Below are 21680 nucleotides of genomic sequence, written 5' to 3'. Positions count from 1 at the left end.
ATATCTGATTCCAATGGTACTCTGCAAAGCAGGCTATCCAGGTGCTGTTGACAGAAGGAGGTTTGAGGACCACTGTCTTATTAAAGCAGCCCATTGCTGGTAATGAACCAAGCCTATGAAATGAATGGGTGGCTTATCAATAACCATTATTATTAGATGTCATTTGAGTACAGATAATTGTGTTTCCAGTAGACAAAGAACTACCCCAACCTCAGCTCTGCCAGTCTCTCAACCTGTCTCCCACCTCTCCCTCCTCCCTTCCCCCTCCCCTCATTCAGCTCCAGGAACATTGGCACTTTCCACTGCTCCTTAACTGTGCCACATCTTCTGCCTAGAATGTTCTTACTTTAGATTTGCATGGCTCAGTCCCTCTTTTTTGTTTTGGAGACAGTCTTGATCTGTCGCCTAGGCTGGAGTGCAGTGGTGCCACCTCAGCTCACTGCAACCTCTGCCTCCCAGGCTCAAGCAATTCTCATGCCTCAGCCTCCCAAGTAGCTGGGATTACAGGCATGTGTCACCACACTTGGCTAATTTTTGTATTTTTCAGTAGAGATGGGGTTTCTCCATGTTGGGCAGGCTTGTCTTGAACTCTTGGCCTCAACTGATCCATCCACCTTGGCCTCCCAAAATGCTGGGATGACAGGTGTGAGCCACAGCGCCCGGTCCCAATCCCTCTTTTATTCACATCTTTTCCCACATATCCCCTCCACAGAGCCGTTATCTGACCATCCCAACTCGACAACAGCACCTCACCCCATCACTGTCTATGGCATCACTGTGCTTCATCAATATTTTCAAAGCCCTGATCACTGACATCATGCTATACATACTGTGCATTTGCTGTCTGTTTCTTCCCGCTTAGAATGCACACATCAAGAGGTTATAGAGGGCCAGATGCAGTGTCTCATGCCTGTAATCTCAGCACTTTGGGAGCCCAAGGCAGGAGGATCGCTTGAGGCCAAGAGTTCAAGACTAGCCTGGACAAAATAGCAAGGCCCCATCTCTACTCGATAGATAGATAGATAGATAGATAGATAGATAGATAGATAGATAGATAGATAGATAAATAGACAGATACACACACACACACACACACACACACACACACATTTATATATATATATATATATATATATAATTAGCCGGGGATGGTGGCATGTGCCTGTAGTCCCAGCAGCTCAAGAGACTGAGGGGGGAGGATCATGGCGCCACTGCACTCTAGGCAACAGAGCGAGGCTGAGACCCTGTCTCTAATGAAAAAGAAGTATGGTGTCTTTTGAGGAAAACACAGGAGGCTCCCATGTTGCTTGCGCCTTCTGCACGAAATGCTGGCAGGGCAGGCTTGCCTCTTGTTGAGAGTAGAAGTGAGAGCCCAGCTGACATTCTAGGTTCCTTCCAAGATCCAAAGTCTCAGAAAAATGCAATTGTAGAGATACAAAAAAAGTTCAGACATCATCTCATGCAAGACTTCTTCTTAAGCTGGGATCCTTGAGTCCCCAAAGATTTCTAAACTTCCTAAAGTTGTATGTGAAATGTCATCGACAGACATATGCACCATTTTCTGTGGAAAGAATCCACAGCTTTCATTACAGTCTCAAAGGAGCTTTATTTCTCAAAAAGTTAAAATCCTCTTGGCATCATCCTTCATTATAGATGAAGAAGCAACTTCTGGAAGGTCAAATAGCTGGTTAGTGGCAGAGTTTGAAGCAGAATTCACATGTGCTGATTTCTAAGCGGTCTCTTGCCTCCACCCCGCTCCCTCACAATGTTCGCTTATTGAAAGGAAGCATCCTTCCCTGGCACTGCCAGACTGGCATCCTGGACCACTGGGCTCCCAGAGTAGCGACCTCATTGTGTGTCTGCCTGAGCCTCGGGCAAGACCCGCCATGCATGACTTTCCCCTTCCTAACAATTTAATTATTCACGAACTTGCGTGTGGTGAGAACATCAGACAGGGATGACGGCGCTAATGTGCTCTGAGCCTCCTTCAAATGGCATTTCATACTAGAGCAGTGCACCCGCGGCATCTTCACAGACCCTCCCTCACCAGATGCCCTCAGCAGATAAAGAACTCATTTTCCTTTCCCTGCTGCTAATGGCTCCAATTTTCTTGTGATTTTCTGTAATGGTAAATGCCAACAAAACATCACCCCACCACATGTTCCTACTGGCTATTCTTTCAACATCATGAATTCCAAACCAGCTCTGCTGGAATGAAAAAGAATGAAAAAATAATATTCACAAGTCATTTGGGAGGAGTGCAGGGAGGGAGGGAAGGCAAAGAAATGAAGGTCATGGGCATATTTTAACCTCAATCAGAAGCAAGTGATTTGTCCTCTATTCTTAAGAAATTTGCTATATAGGCATACCTAGGAGATACTGTGGATTTGGTTCCAGACTGTGCAATAAAGCAAATATTGCAGTAAAGCCAATCACACAAATTTTTCGGTTCCCCTGTGCCTATAAAAGTTATGTTTACACTACAGTCAATTAAGTGTGTAATAGCATTATGTCTAAAAAATGTACAGACCTTAATTTGAAAATATTTTATTGCTAAAAAAATGCATATGATCATCTGAGCCTTCAAGGACTCTTAATTTTTTGGCTGGTGAAGGGTCTTGCTTTGATATTGATAGCAGCTCATGGATCAGGGTGGCAGTTGCTGAAGACTGGGGCAGCTGTGGCAATTTCTTAAAATAAGACAGCAATTAAGTTTGCCAGATCAATTGATACTTCCTTTCATGAAATATTTCTCTATAGCATGTGATGCTATTTGATAGCATTTCATAGTATTTCACCCACAGTATAACTTCTTTCAAATTTGGAGTCAATCCTCTCAAACCTTTCCACTGCTTTGTCAACAAGTTTATGGATTATTCTAAATCCTTGGTTGTCAACAATGTTCACAGCATCTTCACCAAGATAGAGTCCATCTCAAGAAACCACTTTCTTTGCTCATTCATAAAAAGTAACTCTTCTCTGCTCAAGTTTTATCAAGAGATTGCAGCAATTCTCACATCTTCAGGCTCCACTTCTAATTCTAGTGCTCTTGCTATTTCCACAACATCTGCAGGGACATCCTTCACTGAAGTTTTGAACCCCTCAAAGTCATCCATGAGAATTGGAATCAATTTCTTCCACACTCCTACTAATATTGATATTTTGACCTCCTCCCATGAAACATCAATATTCTTAGTGGCATTTAGAATGGGGAATCCTTTCCAGAAGGTTTTTAATGTACTACACCTAGAACCATCAGCGTAATCACTATTTATGGCAGCCACCATTTCATGAAATGTATTCTTTTAAATAATCAGACTTGAAAGTCAAAATTATCCCTTGATCCATGGGCTGCAGTATTCATGTTGTGTCAGCAGGCATGAAAACATTAATCTCCTTGTCCATCTCCATCTAAGCTCTTGGGTGACCTGGTGCATTGTCAATGGGCAGTAATATTTTGAATCAAGGAATCTTCTTTTTCTCAGCTGTAGGTCTCAACAGTAGGCTTAAAATAGTCAGTAAACCATGCTGTCAACAGATGTACTGTCATCCAGACTTTGCTGTTCCATTTATAGAGCACAGGCAGAGTAGATTTAGCATAATTGTTAAGGGCCCTCAGATTTTTCAGAATGGTGAAAGAGCACTGGTTTCAATTTAAAGTCACCAGCTGCATTAGCCCCTAACAAGAGGGTCAGCCTATCCTTTGATGCCCGTCACTGACTTCTCCTCTCTAGCTATGAAAGTACTAGACAGCATCTTCTTACAATAGAAGGCTATTTCATCTACACTTAAAATATGTTGTTAGTGTAGCCACTTTCATCAATATCTTCACTAGATCTTCTGGATAACTTGCCACAGCTTCTATATCAGCACTTGCTGCCTCACCTTGCACTTCTATGCTATGGCAATGGCTTCTTTTATTAAACTTCTTTCATCAAACTTCATGAACCATTGCTTTATTGATCGACCATGAATCTTATGGTCGATCAATAAAGTGATGTGCTATATAGAAGGAGGTATGTCTGCATTCATAGAAAGCTCTGCAAAGTACCCTGAGTTGCCACATAAACTTCTTCAGTGATGCCACGGTATTGCAAGGAACAGAGACTCACTCAAATTGCCTCAGAAAAGGGATGTTTTAGACCTGGACTTGGAAAGCTGCTAAGAACAGGGGCCACTCTAGGGCTGTAGGGTCTCTCCACATCTGCTCCCCTCTCTCTATCAATCAGCTTTTTCAGTTTCCTTGTGGTTTCCATTCACAACATTGGCTTCCACATGGCTTCAGGTTGCCACCAACTCAACTCCCAAACGACATCCTTTTAGCTTTTGCCCCTGTGGCAAAACATATTGGTATTTCCTCATTCAAATTCCCAAGAGAAGGAACCTGATTGAGTACTTACTTCTTTGCGTCAAACCATATGTCATTGTCCAGGCTACGGAATGGCCTCTAGGTAGTGTGTCCATCCAGGGACAATCAGTGATGGCCACAGGAATCTTAGATGGTGTAAAACGAGGCTACCTAGGCCTTCCCTGGGTCTTCTATCCAGGCTGTGGGCAGGCAGGTACTGTAACTATTTGTCATGTAGGAACTAGCCCAGGTTTTTCACAGAATACTGGAGCAAACTTGTACTAGTTTGGAAGGGCCAACTGTTACATTTTCAGGAATTTTCAGGAATTCTGTGAGCTATCTCTTAATCCACTGCTGGTCTGAAATTGGCCACTGTGGGAGTATTTACACCACAGATATTGGTGAATGCTACAAACTCAAGTTTTTTCCTCCCACTCTACAGAGCTAGTTTACCAGCACACTATTGCAGCATGAATGGTTAAAGAGGAAGAAAAAAAATCAAGGTAAACAAGTCTCCCCATAATCTGACAAAATCTATATCATTTCCCTCTTTTCCACTTTACCCACCCTTTGCTTCAGCAAGAATGGACAACTTCCTCATTATCCACTTGCCACAAATAACTGCGTTAGGGCCAGGGCTCACGCTGTGCCAGGTCCCCAGCCTTCCCAAACCTGATGTCCATCTCTATAAAGTTCAACTACTTCCCTGAAGCTTCCTCAACTCCCTCAATTAGAATAATCTCTGCTTCTCTAAACTCCAATAACCCCAACTGGACTTTTTTTGCAACTTTTTTCATGTTCAGCCTTCCTTTCCCTGGAGTTATTTATGGCTTTATACTTGGGGTCTTTTAATTCATTATAAACTTCCCACAAACAGAATCTATGTCCACTTCTCTTAAGTGTTAGGAGAAGTATCAATTAAGTGTGCAATGGCATTATCTCTGAGTATTCCAAGTGCTAAGTGCATACCTCCTACTCAGATACCTGGTGAATCGGTGAAGATGAACACAGCATTTATTTGCACAAGTCTTCAGTAACCCATGTCTCTCTCCCCTTCCCACACCTACAATTCTAGACCTGCAAACTCATGAGTTCACCAGCTGATTTGGGCCCTGACAACTGAATCAGCAACAGCAGGATTTTCAAGGCCAGAAGGCTGCTAAAGGCATGTATCTGATGTGCATGTGAATTACTTTCACTAGATTCAAATCCCTGTAAAAGAGGAGGGAAAAATCTAGGATTAAACTACAGAGATTGAACTTTGATCTGGCAACAGTGGACTCGTATTTCAAATAACACGCAACTCCCTGTGTCTCAGTCAGCTTAGGCTGCCATAACAAAATACCACACACCATGTGGCTTAAATAACAGAAATGTGTTTTCTAACAGCTCTGGGGGCTGGAAGTCCAAGATCAAGTTACCATCATGGTCAGTTTCCGGTGAGGGCTCTCTTCCCGGCTTATAGGTGGCCACCCTCTCATTGTATCCTCACATAGCATAGAGAGAGAAAGAGAAAGACAGAAAGAGAGAGACAGAGGGAGAGAGAGTGAGAGACAGCAAGAGCGAGAGAGAGGGAGAGCGCTCTCCACATAAAAGAAGAGACCAGGCACAGGGGCTGACACCTGTAATCCAAGCATTTTGGGAGGCTGAGGTGGGAGGATTGCTTGAGGCCAGGAGTTCAAGACCAACCTGGCCAACATAATGAGACCCTGTCTGTACTTTAATTAACTTTTTAATAAAAGACATTTTTAAAAATAATTTTTTTTAAAAAAAGCACTAATCCCCTCATGAGGGCCCCACCATGAACTCATCTAAACCTAATTATCTCCCAGGACCCATCTCCAAATACCATCACACTAGGGGCTGAGGCTTCAACATAGGAATTTGTGAGGGACATAATTCAGTCCATAGCACTCTGTTAAAATCAATCTTCCTTTAAATACTTTGGGAAAGACGACTGAGAGATTTGGGGAAATCTGAGAAGTGGAAACCAGATGAAAAAGATCACAAGTTCAGCCTCAGGGAGAGAAAATTAGTTCTTCCTATTAACGTATGACTTAGCCAGTCTGAAGAGTATATGAAAGCCGCCAAGAAGTTAGAAGAAAGACTACTGGATTACCATCGGCATGTGAAGAAAATTTGGCCATAAAGTAATGGGGTTCTTTGCACCAAACCTTTGTAGACAAAGTTTCCTCAGTAAGTCTTCAGGCAGAAAGTTCAATGGCATGTCAACTTTAGATCCTAGCAGTTTTTAGTCCATTAATGTGGCCTAACAGGCATCGCTTAATTCATTTGCAGAAATTTTCAACAACTGAAAATTCATCACACTCTGAGAATCTAGAAGGTAATAGAAAATATTATCTCTGTTTTGCAGATGGAAAAACTAAGCTAAAGAGAGTCAAGCCACTTGGTCACTCCTGTAACAGAGACTGAAATACAAACCCAACTTCCTAATCCTGGGATCAATACTTCTGTTAGTTTCACTCCATGCACTATCCCCCAAAAACCTAAATGCCCCTAAAATTTTAAAAAATTTCTTGTATTAAAAAGTTAAAGTACAGACAGGGTCTCATTATGTTGTATCGACTATGAAGTCGATAATTCCTGAAGTTACTTCTATGAAGTCTATAATTCATCCAAACACATGCTATTAAAAAAATTGGCAAAGAATTCTCAGAACTGAGGCAGATAAATGAACATGGTATAAGTAACTATTTCTGCAAGAAAAACAAACAAACCCTCTAATCTTCCAAAAGTATAAAATCCTGTCACTCAAGGCTGCTGATAAAAGCAAGAAGATAAAGACATCTAAGACGAAAGAACACGTTTCATTTTAGATATTTCTATTTCCTCCATCTGTATTTGTTGAGGAGCAATTTTAGGAAGGCAGGATCACTGAGATGCTGTACTTTTCCTAAGGTTTTACAACTGTTAGCTAATGCCTCCACAACATGGGATTTTGTACCTCAAGTCCTAAAAGACATTAAACCAAAAGTAAAGAGAGGCGAAAAAAGGCAAATAAAAGAAAAAATCACTATGTCCATATGTCCTCCCTGACAGATTCCAATCTGATCTTTAAAATTGAGTCTTTTGGGCCACAAATGAGAGGCTCTCTCTTTTCCTGGTCTAAAATCTATCCCCATGCCACCACATTGTATCAGAATCGAAATGTCACCAGAGGAGAGTGATACAGGGTTTGCTTCACGGAGTGAGCTATTTGTTTTTGAAATAAGTCATGTTGTCAGAATCGGAACTGAGCAAGTATACCCATTTCTCATTCAGGAAAGAAAATATAAGACGGATTCAAAATTTCCAAGGCTCTTGGCTTAGATCACAGCTCAAACATGAAAAGAATTCTTCTGTAGCCTCAAACTATTTCTGAATTTGTGAGCTTACCAGTGGACCTCCCTGAAGCTATCAAACAATTTGAAAACAATCTTGAGCAGCAAATCTAATTCCGCCAAAGATAAACTGGATGCCACCCTCTGCCAAGCCATGTAAGGATCTTCTGAAAAATGACTCCAGTATATTCTATATGCAAGCAACTCTTTAATTCAAGAAGACATCAGCCTTCTTTGAGGCAGGCTTTCAGGCACATAAGATAGTCATTCAGGATTCTGTCATCAGTGGATTCCTATCCTCATATTCTATGATGATCTGGGTGTTAAGACCAGAAATGGCTGGCCAAGAGCTACTGGTCACACATCCATGAATTCATGACACTGGAGATGTATTTGGTAGCACTCTTATCAAGCTAAAGAAAAGGAAAGCAGCCATTATGAATCCCTGCCTACTGCTTCTATGTGTGTTTCTATAGACTCTTTATCTTACACAGTAGTCTCCTAGTGTCCCCTGTGTCACCTTCTGTGGCTTCAGGTACTCAAGGTCCAAAAATATTAAATAAAAAAATTCAAAAACAAACTGCCGGGGTATTGCAGTGCTGGTGTTCAAGTCACCCTTATTTTACTTAATCATGGCCCCAAAGTGCAAGAGTGGTAATACTGGCATATTGTGTTGATTGTTCTTTTTTATTATTAGTTATTGTTGATAACCTCTTACTGTGCCTAATTTAGAAATTCAGCTTTATCATAAATATATTTGTATAGAAGCAGCATTGTATATACAAGCTTGGGTACTATCCGTGGTTTCAAGCATGCCTTGAGGATAAGGCGGGACTACTGTGTGATCCTCACCACCATCCAGCCCAGCAAGACCCTGGAACATAAAAGGTGCTCAGTGAACATGGGCTTCCTCAGAACAGTGAGGTGGGTTAGCCACAGTAAGGGGATTCACACGCAAGGTGGCGTGACTCAAAACATTTCCGTTAGTTTGTTGTGTGTGAATTCATTCATTCATCCATTCCTCTTAGGATTCCAGGCTGTTCTAAGCCAGTGAGTGAGTACCACCCCAAAAGCACAGGATCAGAAGAAAGTAACAGTCCCATCACCCAGAGATCCCTGGGAATTCAAATATTTTCCAGGGGTGGGTGCGGTGGCTCACACCTGTAATGCCAACAGTTTGGGAGGCCGAGGCAGGTGGATCGCTTGAGGACAGGAGTTCGAGACCAGCCTGGCCAACATGGCAAAACCCTATCTCTTCTAAAAATACAAAAATTAGCTGGGGGTGGTGGTGCATGCCTGTAGTCACAGCTACTTGGGGAGGCTGAGGCAGGAGAATCGCGTGAACCCGGGAGGCAGAGATTGCAGTGAGCCACGATTGTGCCACTGCGCTCCAGCCTGGGTGACAGAGCGAGACTCTGTCTCAAAGAGAAGAAAAAAATATATATATATATGTTTTTTTCCCAGGAAGATTCTTGCAAGATAAGGCCATTTCTGGCCATAAGGCTCTAAAATCAAAAATATACTCAAATCTATTCTGAACTTTGAGGACAGGTTCTGAGCCAACCAGTATTAACTACTTGGTAATCAGCCCCACTCTGCAAACAAAGGCACCTGATTGCCAGGCTAGGGTACTGTCAGGGAGGCTGCGACTGAGCAAACTTTCAGATAGCTATCACGTACTGCCCACTGTACCAGGAAGTGTGCTAATCTTATTCCTTCCGTCTTACTTGACTTAGAGCCTTATATGACTTCACAAGGTAAAGAGTAATAAAAGTTAGGAGACTTGGACTTCAAAAATCCCAGCCACAAGCAACTACTCTCCAAAACCTCACTCTGCAGCCAATGGCTCTTGCATCCACCTTGACGATTCTGATTTCAAGCATGGCTTGGCTGCCCGGCTCCACAGCCTGCAGGACTAAAGGTAGTAATCAGCGTTCTAAAGTTAGCTTAACCTGTTGCCCTAAACAAGTCAACATCTGTATCTCAATCTTCTTCAGTAACTCAAACATATTTTTTAAAAGGCATGTAATGTTAGTGATACTGTTAGACTATAGAAATAATTGTATATAAATGTTCTCTTTCACTATTGAAATACTTTGTTTTATGTAATGCTACTAGTGTTTTGTATGTCATGGGACTAAATATTACCTTATCAAAATAATACAATTACATCATACTTTATTGTCTTCAAACAGAGAGAGGAGACGAAGCCTGAGGCTAATGGTTTATTCACCATGAAATAGCCATTTAGGCCGGCCACAGTGGCTCACGCCTGTAATCCCAGCATTTTGGGAGGCCGAGGTGGGCGGATCACCTGAGGTCAGGAGTTTGAGACCAGCCTGACCAAAATGGTGAAACCCTGTCTCTACTAAAAATTCAAAAATTAGCCGGGCATGGTGGCATGCACCTGTAATCCCAGCTACTCAGGAGGCTGAGGCAGAAGAATTGTTTGAACCCAGGAGGCGGAGGTTGCAGTGAGCCGAGATTGCACCACTGCACTCCAGCCTAAGTGACAAAGCAAGACTCCATCTCAAACAAAAAAAGAAGAAGAAGAAATAGCCATTTAGATCCTTAAACAACCAACAAATTAACACTACAATTAATAAGATGTAATTATACAAGTTTTAAAAAGTAGGATTATAAAGAGATGAGACCAGCACAGGCATGTTTTATTTTGCCCTTTATTGAAGTAAAATATTGGATTTGGTTTTTGTTGATTAACAAAGAGATGGTCATAAGTAACTAACTGAATGGCAGAAAGCAAAATGTATTAAATTACAGATGGTCTATTCTAAGGTAACAAAAATGTGCTCTTATGTTTTCTTCTAAGAGCTTCCACTGTTTTATCTTTCATACAGCTGGAATCAATTTTTTATGTGGTATTAGGTAGGGGTCCTGATACATTTTGTTCAGTATAGATAAACAAACGACTCAGTATCATTTTTTGAAAAGATCATCCTTCAACCACTACATGCCACTCTCACCTTTGTCAACACTTTATCTATCACTGCGTCAGAATCTTTTTAATGGCTATATAGTTTTCCATTGTATGCATGTGCTATAAATTACTAAATCCATCCCCAATTAGCCAACACTTGAGAGTTTCCATGTTTTTGGTATAAATAATGCTATAATGAATAACCTTGTCCATGTATTATTCCCCACATGTGGAGTATATTTGTAAGATAAACTCAGAGAAACGGAGTTGCTAAGTCAAAGGGTATGTGCATTTTTAATCAATACATGATAGAGGTTATACCAACTTTAATTGGAATTTTCAAGTCACAATGAACTCCAAAGTATTATGATAAGATACAGCACATTGCCATTTCAGTTACTCCAAAGTTCCCAACATTTTTGGCCCTTAGGATTCTTTTATAAAAGACATCAAATGTATAACAATGCTTCCAGTATCCACTGATTGAAAGTATATATAACCACATAAGTTCACAGAAAATGTGCCTCAGTATTCTGCAAAATGTAAATTAACAAATCTAAAACAAATCATGCAGTCACAATTGGATAGACAGGCCTTCTCTGCTTATGGTAAAGAACAAGGGCAACTTGCTGTTTACTTTTGTTCTGAAGGAAGTTCAAAGCTCAGCACCAGCACCAGCACCAGCACCTCTGGTTCCACGTGGGTAGATATTGCCCCATTTCAGGAGTTTGCTCCCGATGGAGAATGACAGTGATTGTCTCTGCATGAGAAGAGGCTGCATCTCCTCCTCCAGAGTAAAGCTGTCCACTCCCAGCAAAGAAAATAGAGCAGAAGTTGGTTGGGCGTGGTGGCTCACGCATGTAATCCCAACACTTTGGGAGGCCAAGGCGGGAGGATCACCTGAGGTCAGGAGTTCAAGACCAGCTTGGCCAACATGGTGAAACCCCGTCTCTACTAAAATACAAAAATTAGCCGGGTGTGGTGGCAAATGCTTATAATCCCAGCTACTAGGGAGGCTGAGGCAGGAGAATTGCTTGAACACAGGAGGTGGAGGTTGCAGTGAGCTGAGATGGTGCCACTGCACTCCAGCCTGGGCAACAAAGCAAGACTCCGTCTCACAAAAAAAAAAAAAAAAAAAGAACAGAGCGGAAATGGAAGCTGAGGGAGAAGGCGCTTACTCACTCAAACTTTTCCTAAGTCTTCAGAAGATGACATCACATTTTATTTGAAATACAGGTCTGAAAAAGTAGAAATGTTCTCTCACATCCAGGTTACTAACATAATCCTTTATTAGCAATACATGACCCTTTCTTCACCCCTTAAACGTTTACTTTGCAAAACACAGTGATGTTCATTCTCAAATATGCCTGTGATGTAGTAACAATGCCACATTACTTATTAATTTTGCAACTGATGTCATGTCAATACCACGGTGCTAAGGACTGAAACCACGTGAGAAGTCAGTGGCCAAACCGTGCAACCCACAGTGTCACTTCCACTTTGCAGGCTCAAACCTCCTCAAACACACTTCCTTCCTAGAACTCTTAAAAAAGGGAAGATATTTAACAGCCAAACCTTACTTATAACAAAACCTCCACCTGGAAAAAACCCAGGAGACACAGGCATCTTCCCCTTTGGATGGAGAGGGGAGAATTTACTCTTCCAACCTTAAGGAGATCTGATTAACAAACCCCTCTCCAGAGTTGTAAGTAAGGAGAAAGATAGACAGCAAGTTGAAACAAAAATTTGCTACTAGCTGTGTGACTTTTAGGTAAGTCATCTGATGTCTCTGGGGCTTTTTTTCTTCTGATAAAATGAGGGTGTTAGCCAAGAGGTAATACTTACAAACTCCGGCTCTTAATATCTTCTGATTCTACATACAAGAGGGCAAAACTGTTAGATTTTGACAACTGAGTCTTATTTATGACTTAGTATTTTTTTTTTTTTGAGATGGAGTCTCGCTCTGTTGCCCAGGTTGGAGTGCAGTGGCACGATCTCAGCTTACTGCAACGTCTGCCTCCCGGGTTCAAGTGATTTTTGTGCTTCAGCCTCCTGCATAGCTGGGATTACAGGCACACACTACCATGCCCAGCTAATTTTTGTATTTTTAGTCGAGATGGGGTTTCACCATGTTGGCCAGGCTGGTCTTGAAACTCCTGATCTCGGGTGATCTACCCGCCTCAGCTTCCCACAGTGCTGGGATCACAGGTATGAGACACCGTGTCTGGTCGTCACTTCGTCTTATAACTGGTCTCTGGCAGGGAAGGCTGGGTCATGAGAGCCGCATTGTTCCAGGCTCACAGAAAGTACAAATCAAATACGATGCAACTTGTTGCAGGTATACAGGTAACAAACCCATCAGGAGGGTGCATTCTAATGCACCTTGGCTGAGTCAGCAAAGAGTTATTTTCAAGAGGGAATTAGTCTCCACTGTGTTTTCCTTCCCTCAAGCTGTTTTAAAAGACAAAGACACCGGCACAGTGCCTCATGCCTGTAATCCCAGCACTTTGGGAGGCCGACGCAGGCGGATCACGACGTCAGGAGATCGAGACCATCCTGGCTAACACAGTGAAACCCCGTCTCTACTAAAAATGCAAAAAATTAGCCGGGCATGGTGGTGGGCACCTGTAGTCCCAGCTGCTCAGGAGGCTGAGGCAGGAGAATGGCGTGAAACAGGGAGGCTGAGCTTGCAGTGAGCCGAGATTGCGCCACAGCACTCCAGCCTGGGTGACAGAGCGAGACTCCGTCTCAAAAAAAAAAAAAAAAAATTAGCTTGGCATGGTTGCATGTACCTGTAGTCCCAGCTACTTGGGTGGCTGAGGCAGGAGAATCTCTTGAACCCAGGAGGCGAAGGTTGCAATGAGCCGAGATCACGCCATTGTACTCCACCCTGGCAACAGAGCGAGACTCCTTCTCAAAAAAAAAAAAAAAAAAAAAAAAAAAGACAAAGACACGATCCTTAAAGAGAGGGCATCTTTGGGGTCCAACTATTATCTGATGTGGATAGTGACAGGGTTTAATCAGCTGTGGAAATATGAGAGCAAACGGCACATTTGGGAAAAGGTGGATAATGACCATGAACCCATTCGAACAACAGTGGCTTTGCAATGGCACAGAGCTTTCTGAAAGACAAAGCCCACTTCTGTCTCTTGCTTGGGAAGTGGCTGCCAGCATTCAGACAATCGTTTGAGTGAGCCCAGGCTCTGAGAGGACATGGCCCAAACATTACTTGGAAAAACACAATTAACGTGCTCATCCACATCTCTGCCTCAAAATAATTTCTCAAAAAACACTTTTATAAAGCTTGACAATAAAACCCCCATTATTCCGGAGGTATGCTGGTGTAGTTATAAATCAGTCAAAGGACTCCCAAAGGGCTTATTATGTCCTTTAATGTCCACGGAGAGTAGGCATATTCTGGGTGATTTTACCTGTTTGAGGAAGGGGAAAACGATTTTTCTTTCTACTAATTTTTTTTTTAAATAATAGACAGGGTCTCACTATGTTGCCCAGGCTGGTCTCAAACTCCTGGGCTCAAGCAATCCTCCAGCCTCAGCCTCCTAAAGTGCTGGGATTACAGGCATGAGCCACGGTGCCCAGCCAAAATATTTAGTGAAGAACAAACTGTGTGTTCCTTGACCACAGACATACGGTTCAATTCCGCTACAACTCATTCCAAAGAACTGGATGATTCCTTTTTTTTAATTCTTTTGAAAGTACTAAAATCTTTTATATGCATTGCATTATAACGTCATTGCATTGAATACTGCTGGCAATAAGCTAGAAGTTAGAAAAACTTTGCTTTATGGTAAAATTAAGTACAATGAGATTTGATTCCTTACATTCAAGCCCCACTGATTTGTCTCTTGAAATTTAGATGAGGAGAAAACACAAATTAATTTATATTTTCAGCTAACAAGATGGCTACATGACAGCTATGGCCACAAGAAAAATTTAGACAGACTAATGTTTGAGTAACCATGGCTTCAAAGCCCCTTGCCAGTATTCTAAATTACTTTTTCTTCTTCTCCAAATTACTTGTGATTTCTCAGATTTTTTATTTAATTATTGAGTGTACAGTACATATGCTCTTTTTGTAAGGAATCTCAACTCCTTGTATTAGAAATGGGAAATAACAGATGAATCTAAATGTCTTGTTTCTTCCATGAGACTGCGCCTTCTTTCCTTTCCAATTCATGTGCTCAACACAGCACCAACCAATGACTCAGAACCTCCTAAACTCTGTACACCACATGGTCAAGCATTTTCTTTCCAGGTAGCCAAGTCTGCAGTGCCCCTTCCTCCATAAAGCCTCCAGAAATAATGACCCAAAAATAAAAAAGCAAATCCCATCACTTCCATCTAATAATGCAACATTTATGATTCTAAGTCCTCACCCACCCCACAGGATTCACGTAATCTTTTGCTTATGCAGTTTATTAAATCTATTTTCTCCATTACTTGAATGTCCCTTTCTCTCTGCCTTTGATGTTTCTCTCATGGGAAATACACACAGGGTGGTATTTTCCAAAGTGTGGGCAAAATCCTGCTGATGGTAAGCAAGATGAATTTAAAGAGATGATGGGGTCAGTATTCATTTATTCATACAGCATATATTCACTGAGGACTTACTATGAGCCAGGTGCTATTCCAGGGGCTGGGGCACACTGATGAAAAAGAGTTCGTGTCCTCATAACTTTACATTCTAGTATGGGAGACAGACAGTAAACACTAACAAATAAATAAAGGAAAAGGGCTAGACATTGTGAGGTGTCAGCAAGGAGGTGGGATCATGCAGCTAGGGTTCTTCTCAGAGAAGGCTCTCTCTAAGCAGGGATTATTTGAAGGAAGACCAGAGAACCGGACATCTAAAGATCTAGGGAAACACATTCCATAAGAGGGAGGAGTAAGTGCCAAGGTCCTGAGTCAAGCTGAGCTTGGCAAGTTCAAAAACCAGAAATAAAGCTGGTGTGGCTGGAATGCAGAAGGGAAAGAGGGAGGCGGCAGGTCTGATCCCACAGGGCCGGGAGGGCATGACCAGGAACTTCAGTGCCATCCCAACTGCAATGGGAAGGTGGAAGCAGGGAGGTGGCAATGTCAGGTTCTTGCCTTTAAAAAGTTCCTCTTAGCTGGGCTTGGTGGTTCATGCCTGTAATTCCAGCACTTGTGAGGCTGAGGCAGGAGAATCACTTGAGGCCAGGAGTTCAAGACCAGCCTGGGCAACAAAGCAAGATGCCCATCTTAAAAAAAAAAAAAAAAAAAAAAAAGTGATAAGGAGTCCAGTTAGAAGACCATTGCAGCTGGGCGTGGTGACTCATTCCTGTAATCCCAGCACTTTGGGAGGCCAAGGCGGGTGGATCACTTGAGGTCAAGAGTTCAAGATCAGACTGGTCAACAAGATGAAATGCCATGTCTACTAAAAATACAAAAATTAGCCAGGTGTGGTGATGCGCACCTGTAGTCCCAGCTACTCGGGAGGCTATGGCAGGAGAATCACTTGAACCCAGGAGGTGGAGGTTGCAGTGAGCCAAGATTGCGCCACTACACTCCAGTCTGGGCGACAGAGCGAGACTCCGTCCCCAAAAGAAAAAAAAAAAAATACCGTTGCAGTAGCCCTGCAGACGCTAATGCAGGCTTGCATTGAAATGGAAACATCAGCAGCAGTAATCTGAGGACATATTTTGGAGGAAGGACAGACTGCACTTGATGACAGATAGAATGTGGGGTGACTCTTAGTGTTCTGCCTGGGCCACTGGACAGACAGCAAGAAACTGGGGAAAGTGCGGTTCTGGGGTTAGAGAGGATCCAAACTTCTGTTCTGGAAGCAGGGACTGCCTGTTAAGAAAAACACTGGGAGACGCCCAGTGAACAGCTGTATGTGATCCCGAAGCACAGGGAAGGGGTCTGGGGCTATCCATGTGGAAGGCTGCAGCAAATGAATGGGAATGAGAGCCAAGGCGGGGGATGAGATCACTTGTTATCAGGTAGATAAAGGAGACACAAAAGCCAGCCAGGCTATGGCAAGACTTAAAGTTGTGGCAAAGCGGAGGGAAGGCAGGGAGGATGGAGGGTGGGGATATGGGAGGAAAACTGTGGAGAAATGGGATCAAAAGTCTAGAGAAGAAAATGTTTCTAGAAGTAAAGTCAACTGCATCCAATATGTGAACAAAAACAAACACATGGGGAAAGGAAGTGATTCCATTTTCAATTATCTTTTATTTTTTTGAGACAGAGTCTTGCTCTGTTACCCAGGCTGGAGTGTAGTGGCGTGATCTTGGCTCACTGCAACCTCCGCCTCCTGGGCTGAAGCAATTCTCCTACCTCAGCCTCCCTAGTAGCTGCAATGACAGGTGAGCACCGCCACACCTGGCTAATTTTTTTTTTTTTTTGTATTTTTTAGAGATAGGGTTTCGCCATGTTGGCCAGGCTGGTCTCGAACTTCTGACCTCAGGTGATACACCCGCCTCAGCCTCCCAAAGTGCTGGTATTACAGGTGTGAGCCACCATGCCCGGCTTCAATTATCGTTTTGTGAAACTACAGTAGATCCTCATTGTTGACAGACTCCATATTTGCGAATTCACCTACTCACTAAAATATACATGGAACCTTAAAACCAATACTCCTGCACAAGTTCCTAGCTAAGGGTGAGCAAGGTGACGCTCTGCATTCTTTTTTCAGCTAACATATTGTAAACAAGTGTCTTTTTCAGGGTCTATTTACTGCCACATTTCTCTTATTTTTCTGCCTTTTTTTTGACCAGGGTCTCACTCGCTCACCCAGGCTGGAGTGCAGTGGCACGATCACAGCTAACTGCAGCCTTGACCTCCCCAGGCTCAGATGATCCTCTCACCTCAGCCTCCCAAGTAGGTGGGACCACAACCACATGCTACCATGCCCAGCTAATTTTTGTATTTTTTTTTGTAGAGACGGGGTTGCACAACGTTGCCCAGGCTGGTTTCAAACTCCTGGGCTTAAGCAATCCTCTCGTTTCAGTCTCCCAAAGTGCTGGGATTACAAGTGTGAACCACCACATTTGGCCTCATTTTTGTGCTTTTTGCTGGTGATTTTTCTATTTAAAATGGTCCCAAGCATAGTGCTACAGTGCTGTCTAAGTACCTAAATGCAAAAAAAAAAAAGCTGTAATGTGCCTTAAAAAAAAAAATACACGTTAGATAAGTTTCTTCATTCAGGCATGAGTTACAGTGCTTTTTGCCATGGGCTCAATGTTAGTGAACCAACTATATATGTTAAATAAGGTAACTTTAAACACAAACACACATAAAATAAGGTTATGTATTGATTGGCTGATGAAAAGCTTGTGACCAGAGGCTCACAGGAACCCTGCCTCTCCCCTAGGAGCAACGGGTCAGTATTCACTAACTCAGTGTTCACTGTGACTAAATAGAACATAATTACCATGAATAATGAGAATGGACACTATACTGAAGAGAAAGATTCCATTGGGTATCAGCTTCCTCCTTTTTTAATGAAGAAAAAGCAGGTCTGGGGCTCTAGGCTTGACAGCAACAGTATCTAGCCAGAATCTAATACACCGCTTTTATTTTTGTTGCTTTCATTTTTACAATTGTTTCTTTTCTACAGCAAGTAGTGGTAGAAAGATAAGGCTTTCTTTTTCAGTAACTGCTAAAATTAAAAAAGAAAACAAGCAGACAATATAAAGAAAATATAACATAGAAAATAGTATAGGCTGAGCGTGGTAGCTGGCGCCTGTAATCCCAATACTTTGGGAGGCCAAGACAGGAGGACTGCTTCAGCCCAGGAGCCCAAGACCAGCCTGGGAAACACAGTGAAACCCTGTGTCTACGAAAACAACAACAACAAAAATTAGCCAGGCATGGTAGTGTGTGTCTGTAGTTCCAGCTATTCCAGAGGCTGAGGTGGGAGAATCGCTTGAGCTCAGGAAGTCCAGGCAGCAGTGAGCCGAGATTGCACCACTGCACTCCAGCCTGGGCAACACAGTGAGACCCTATCTCTTAAAAGAAAAACAAAAAAGAATACAGATGGAAATGGGTATAGCAATAGCCCTGAAGCTGCTACACAGTGGTACCTGAACAGGGCAAAACCAAGGTGACGATGAACAAGTGGAACTTGGGAAACACAACATGGGTTAAATATTTTGTTTTTGCTAGTTCAACCATTGTGGAAGACAGTGTGGCGATTCCTCAGGTATCTAGAACTAGAAATACCATTTGACCCAGCCATCCCATTACTGGGTATATACCCAAAGGATTATAAGTCATGCTGCTATAAAGACACATGCACATGTATGTTTATTGTGGCACATTCACAATAGCAAAGACTTGGAACCAACCCAAATGTCCATCAGTGATAGACTGGATTAAGAAAATGTGGTACATATACACCATGGAATACTATGCAGCCATAAAAAAGGATGAGTTCATGTCCTTTGCAGGGACAGACATGGATGAAGCTGGAAACCATCATTCTCAGCAAACTATCGCAAGGACAAAAAACCAAACACTGCATGTTCTCACTCACAGGTGGGAACTGAACAATGAGAACACTTGGACACAGGACGGGGAACATCACACACCAGGGCCTGTTGTGGGGTGGGGGGAGGGGGGAGGGATAGCATTAGGAGATATAACTAATGTAAATGACGAGTTAATGGGTGCAGCACACAATGGCACATGTATACATATGTAACAAAACTGCACGTTGTGCACATGTACCCTAGAACTTAAAGTATAATAAATATATATATATAATTTTAAAAAAAAGATTTTGTTTTTGGAGTGAGATTATATGGCCATGGATGAGAAACTCATCTTCTGCAAACCTCATTTCCTATATCAGAAACAGGGGACAACAGCATTTCATATCACTGCCACAATGATTTAATGAAATAACAGGTAAAGCAGCTCAAATGTTTGTCTCAGAACCCCTTTACTTGCTTAAAAGTTACTGAGAACCACCAAAGAGCTTCTATGTGGGTGACATCTATCACAACTTGCCATATCAGAAATTCAAATTGAAACATTCAAAAAGTAGTTGGTAATTAATTTAAAATAACTATGATAAATCCAATACATGTTTGTAAAAATACATATTTTCAAGGAACAGAACTATTTTCTCAAACAAAAACACTTGGAAGCGTGGCTTTGTTTTGCATATTTGGAAGTCTCTTTAATGTCTGACTTCACTATAGGCAGCTGGGTCTTTATAGCTGCCCCTGCATTCCATCGGTGGCCATATCGCACTTTGCAAAGCCTCTGGAAAACTCCACTAACGAGAGAATGAGAATGTAAACAGGCCAATAACGGCTTAGCATTATTGCAAAAAGAAAGTTTTAATTTCATGGACCCCCCCCATTCTGAACGTGTCTCCAAGACCCCACATGTCCCTGGAACATACTAAAATAAAGGGTTCAGAATGGTACCTCACAAGAGAAGTTCTCAATGAATACTAATTCTCTCTTCCTTTTGTTCTTAGCCTCAATGCTGTTAAAACATGACCAAGTTCAGGAGATCAAGACCATCCTGGCTAACACGGTGAAACCCTGTCTCTACTAAAAAATACAAAAAATTAGCCTGGCGCAGTGGCGGGCGCCTGTAGTCACAGCTATGCGGGAGGCTGAGGCAGGAGAATGGCGTGAACCCGGGAGGCGGAGCTTGCAGTGAGCCGAGATCGCGCCACTGCACTCCACCCTGGGCGACAGAGCAAGACTCCGTCTCAAAAAAAAAAAAAAAAAAAAAAAAACCCATGACCAAGTTAAGGCCAGGCCTTCTTCGGGTCATTATAATTATATAATATCCGGTACAGTGTTATGTGCAAAGAGGTGGTCAACAAGTATCACTGTCTTGCTCAGATGGCACTGTAACTAATTAGCTATGTGATCCTCAGCCAAGGATACTTAATCTGTTAAATCCAGAGGATCCACGAACTTGAACAAGAAAAAAGTTACATCTCTATTTTCTGACATTCAGCACTCACTTTAATTACGACTGTAGCCAATAAACCGCAATTGCACTACTAGCGCCTGTGATACTGTCACCAATAAAACAGGGATTTTTATATCATAGTATGGTTACTGCAGATATCTTGAAAAATCATATATGCTCGTGACTAATTCAAAATTATGCTAGTTATTAGACCTGTCACTAGATCTTGGTACTTTATGCATTAATAAAGAAGTACATATACTGCAGTATCACGAACTTTGAAAAACACCTTCACGGCCTATTTCAATACGGCTGTTTTCATTTTCTATCCTTTGTAATTTACTTAATTTTTATTTCTACAGTGACTTGGAACTTTGTATCGTACTTTATGCATTTAAAAACATTCTGGGCCAGGAGCGGTGGCTCACGCCTGTAATCCCAGCACTTTGGGAGGCCAAGGCGGGCACATCACATGAAGTCAGGAGTTCCAGACCAGCCTGACCAACATGGTGAAACCCCGTCTCTACTAAAAATACAAAAACTGGCCGGGCGTGGTGGCGTGCGCCTGTAATCTCAGCTACTCAGGAGGCTGAGGCAGGAGAATCGCTTGAACCCAGGAGGCAGAGGTTGCAGTGAGCCAAGATTGCACCACTGCACTCCAGCCTGGGCGACAGAGCAAGACTCCATCTCAAAATACAAACAAATAAGCAAACAAAAACACAACAAAAGCCCAAGTCTGAAGTCAGTCTTAAATCAGCATTCAAAGCTCTACTCCGTTAAGTCAGATGCTTCTAAACAACTAAAGAGCTTTAAACAAGTAAACACCTGAAGAGCTAACTAGTAATATTTCCCAAAACTGCCTTTTGTTACATCATAAAAATATATGTGATCACAAATCCCAACATGCAACAATGAGCTACTTTTCAAAGAATAAGGCTGGGTGTGGTGGCTCATGCCTGTAATCCCAGCACTTTGGGAGGCTGAGGCAGAAGGACTGCTTGAGCCTAGGAGTTCCAGACCAGCCTGGGCAACATGGTGAAACTCCATCCCTACAAAAAATACAAAAATCAACTGGTTGTGGTGGCACGCACCTGTAGCTCTCAGCTCTCAGCGGGCTGAGGCTGGAGGG

General features: G+C 42.4%; 1 protein-coding gene across 2 annotated transcripts in view, besides 3 other annotated features; it reads right to left on the bottom strand.

The window, feature by feature from the left end:
• DOCK5 (dedicator of cytokinesis 5) overlaps nucleotides 1–21680 on the bottom strand; it is a 231023-nt gene that overhangs the window by 204566 nt on the left and 4777 nt on the right. The gene's annotated exons all lie outside the window — the stretch shown is intronic.
• Nucleotides 12023–12112: a silencer, noted in NCBI's record as "silent region_19034". NCBI's record gives its function as "represses an Ori minimal core promoter by ATAC-STARR-seq in GM12878 lymphoblastoid cells {active_cell/tissue: GM12878}" and the evidence as "EXISTENCE:reporter gene assay evidence [ECO:0000049][PMID:35858748]".
• Nucleotides 12265–13203: an enhancer, noted in NCBI's record as "NANOG-H3K27ac-H3K4me1 hESC enhancer chr8:25055459-25056397 (GRCh37/hg19 assembly coordinates)". NCBI's record gives its function as "activates a minimal SCP1, AML or CMV promoter by ChIP-STARR-seq in naive H9 embryonic stem cells {active_cell/tissue: H9 hESC(naive)}" and the evidence as "EXISTENCE:reporter gene assay evidence [ECO:0000049][PMID:30033119]".
• Nucleotides 13204–14144: an enhancer, noted in NCBI's record as "NANOG-H3K27ac-H3K4me1 hESC enhancer chr8:25054518-25055458 (GRCh37/hg19 assembly coordinates)". NCBI's record gives its function as "activates a minimal SCP1, AML or CMV promoter by ChIP-STARR-seq in naive H9 embryonic stem cells {active_cell/tissue: H9 hESC(naive)}" and the evidence as "EXISTENCE:reporter gene assay evidence [ECO:0000049][PMID:30033119]".

This window comes from Homo sapiens, chromosome 8, assembly GCF_000001405.40.
Source record: "Homo sapiens chromosome 8, GRCh38.p14 Primary Assembly".
Classification (NCBI taxonomy): domain Eukaryota; kingdom Metazoa; phylum Chordata; class Mammalia; order Primates; family Hominidae; genus Homo; species Homo sapiens.
Note: the sequence above shows the minus strand (reverse complement) of the source record. Positions and strands in the feature narration are given on the sequence as shown.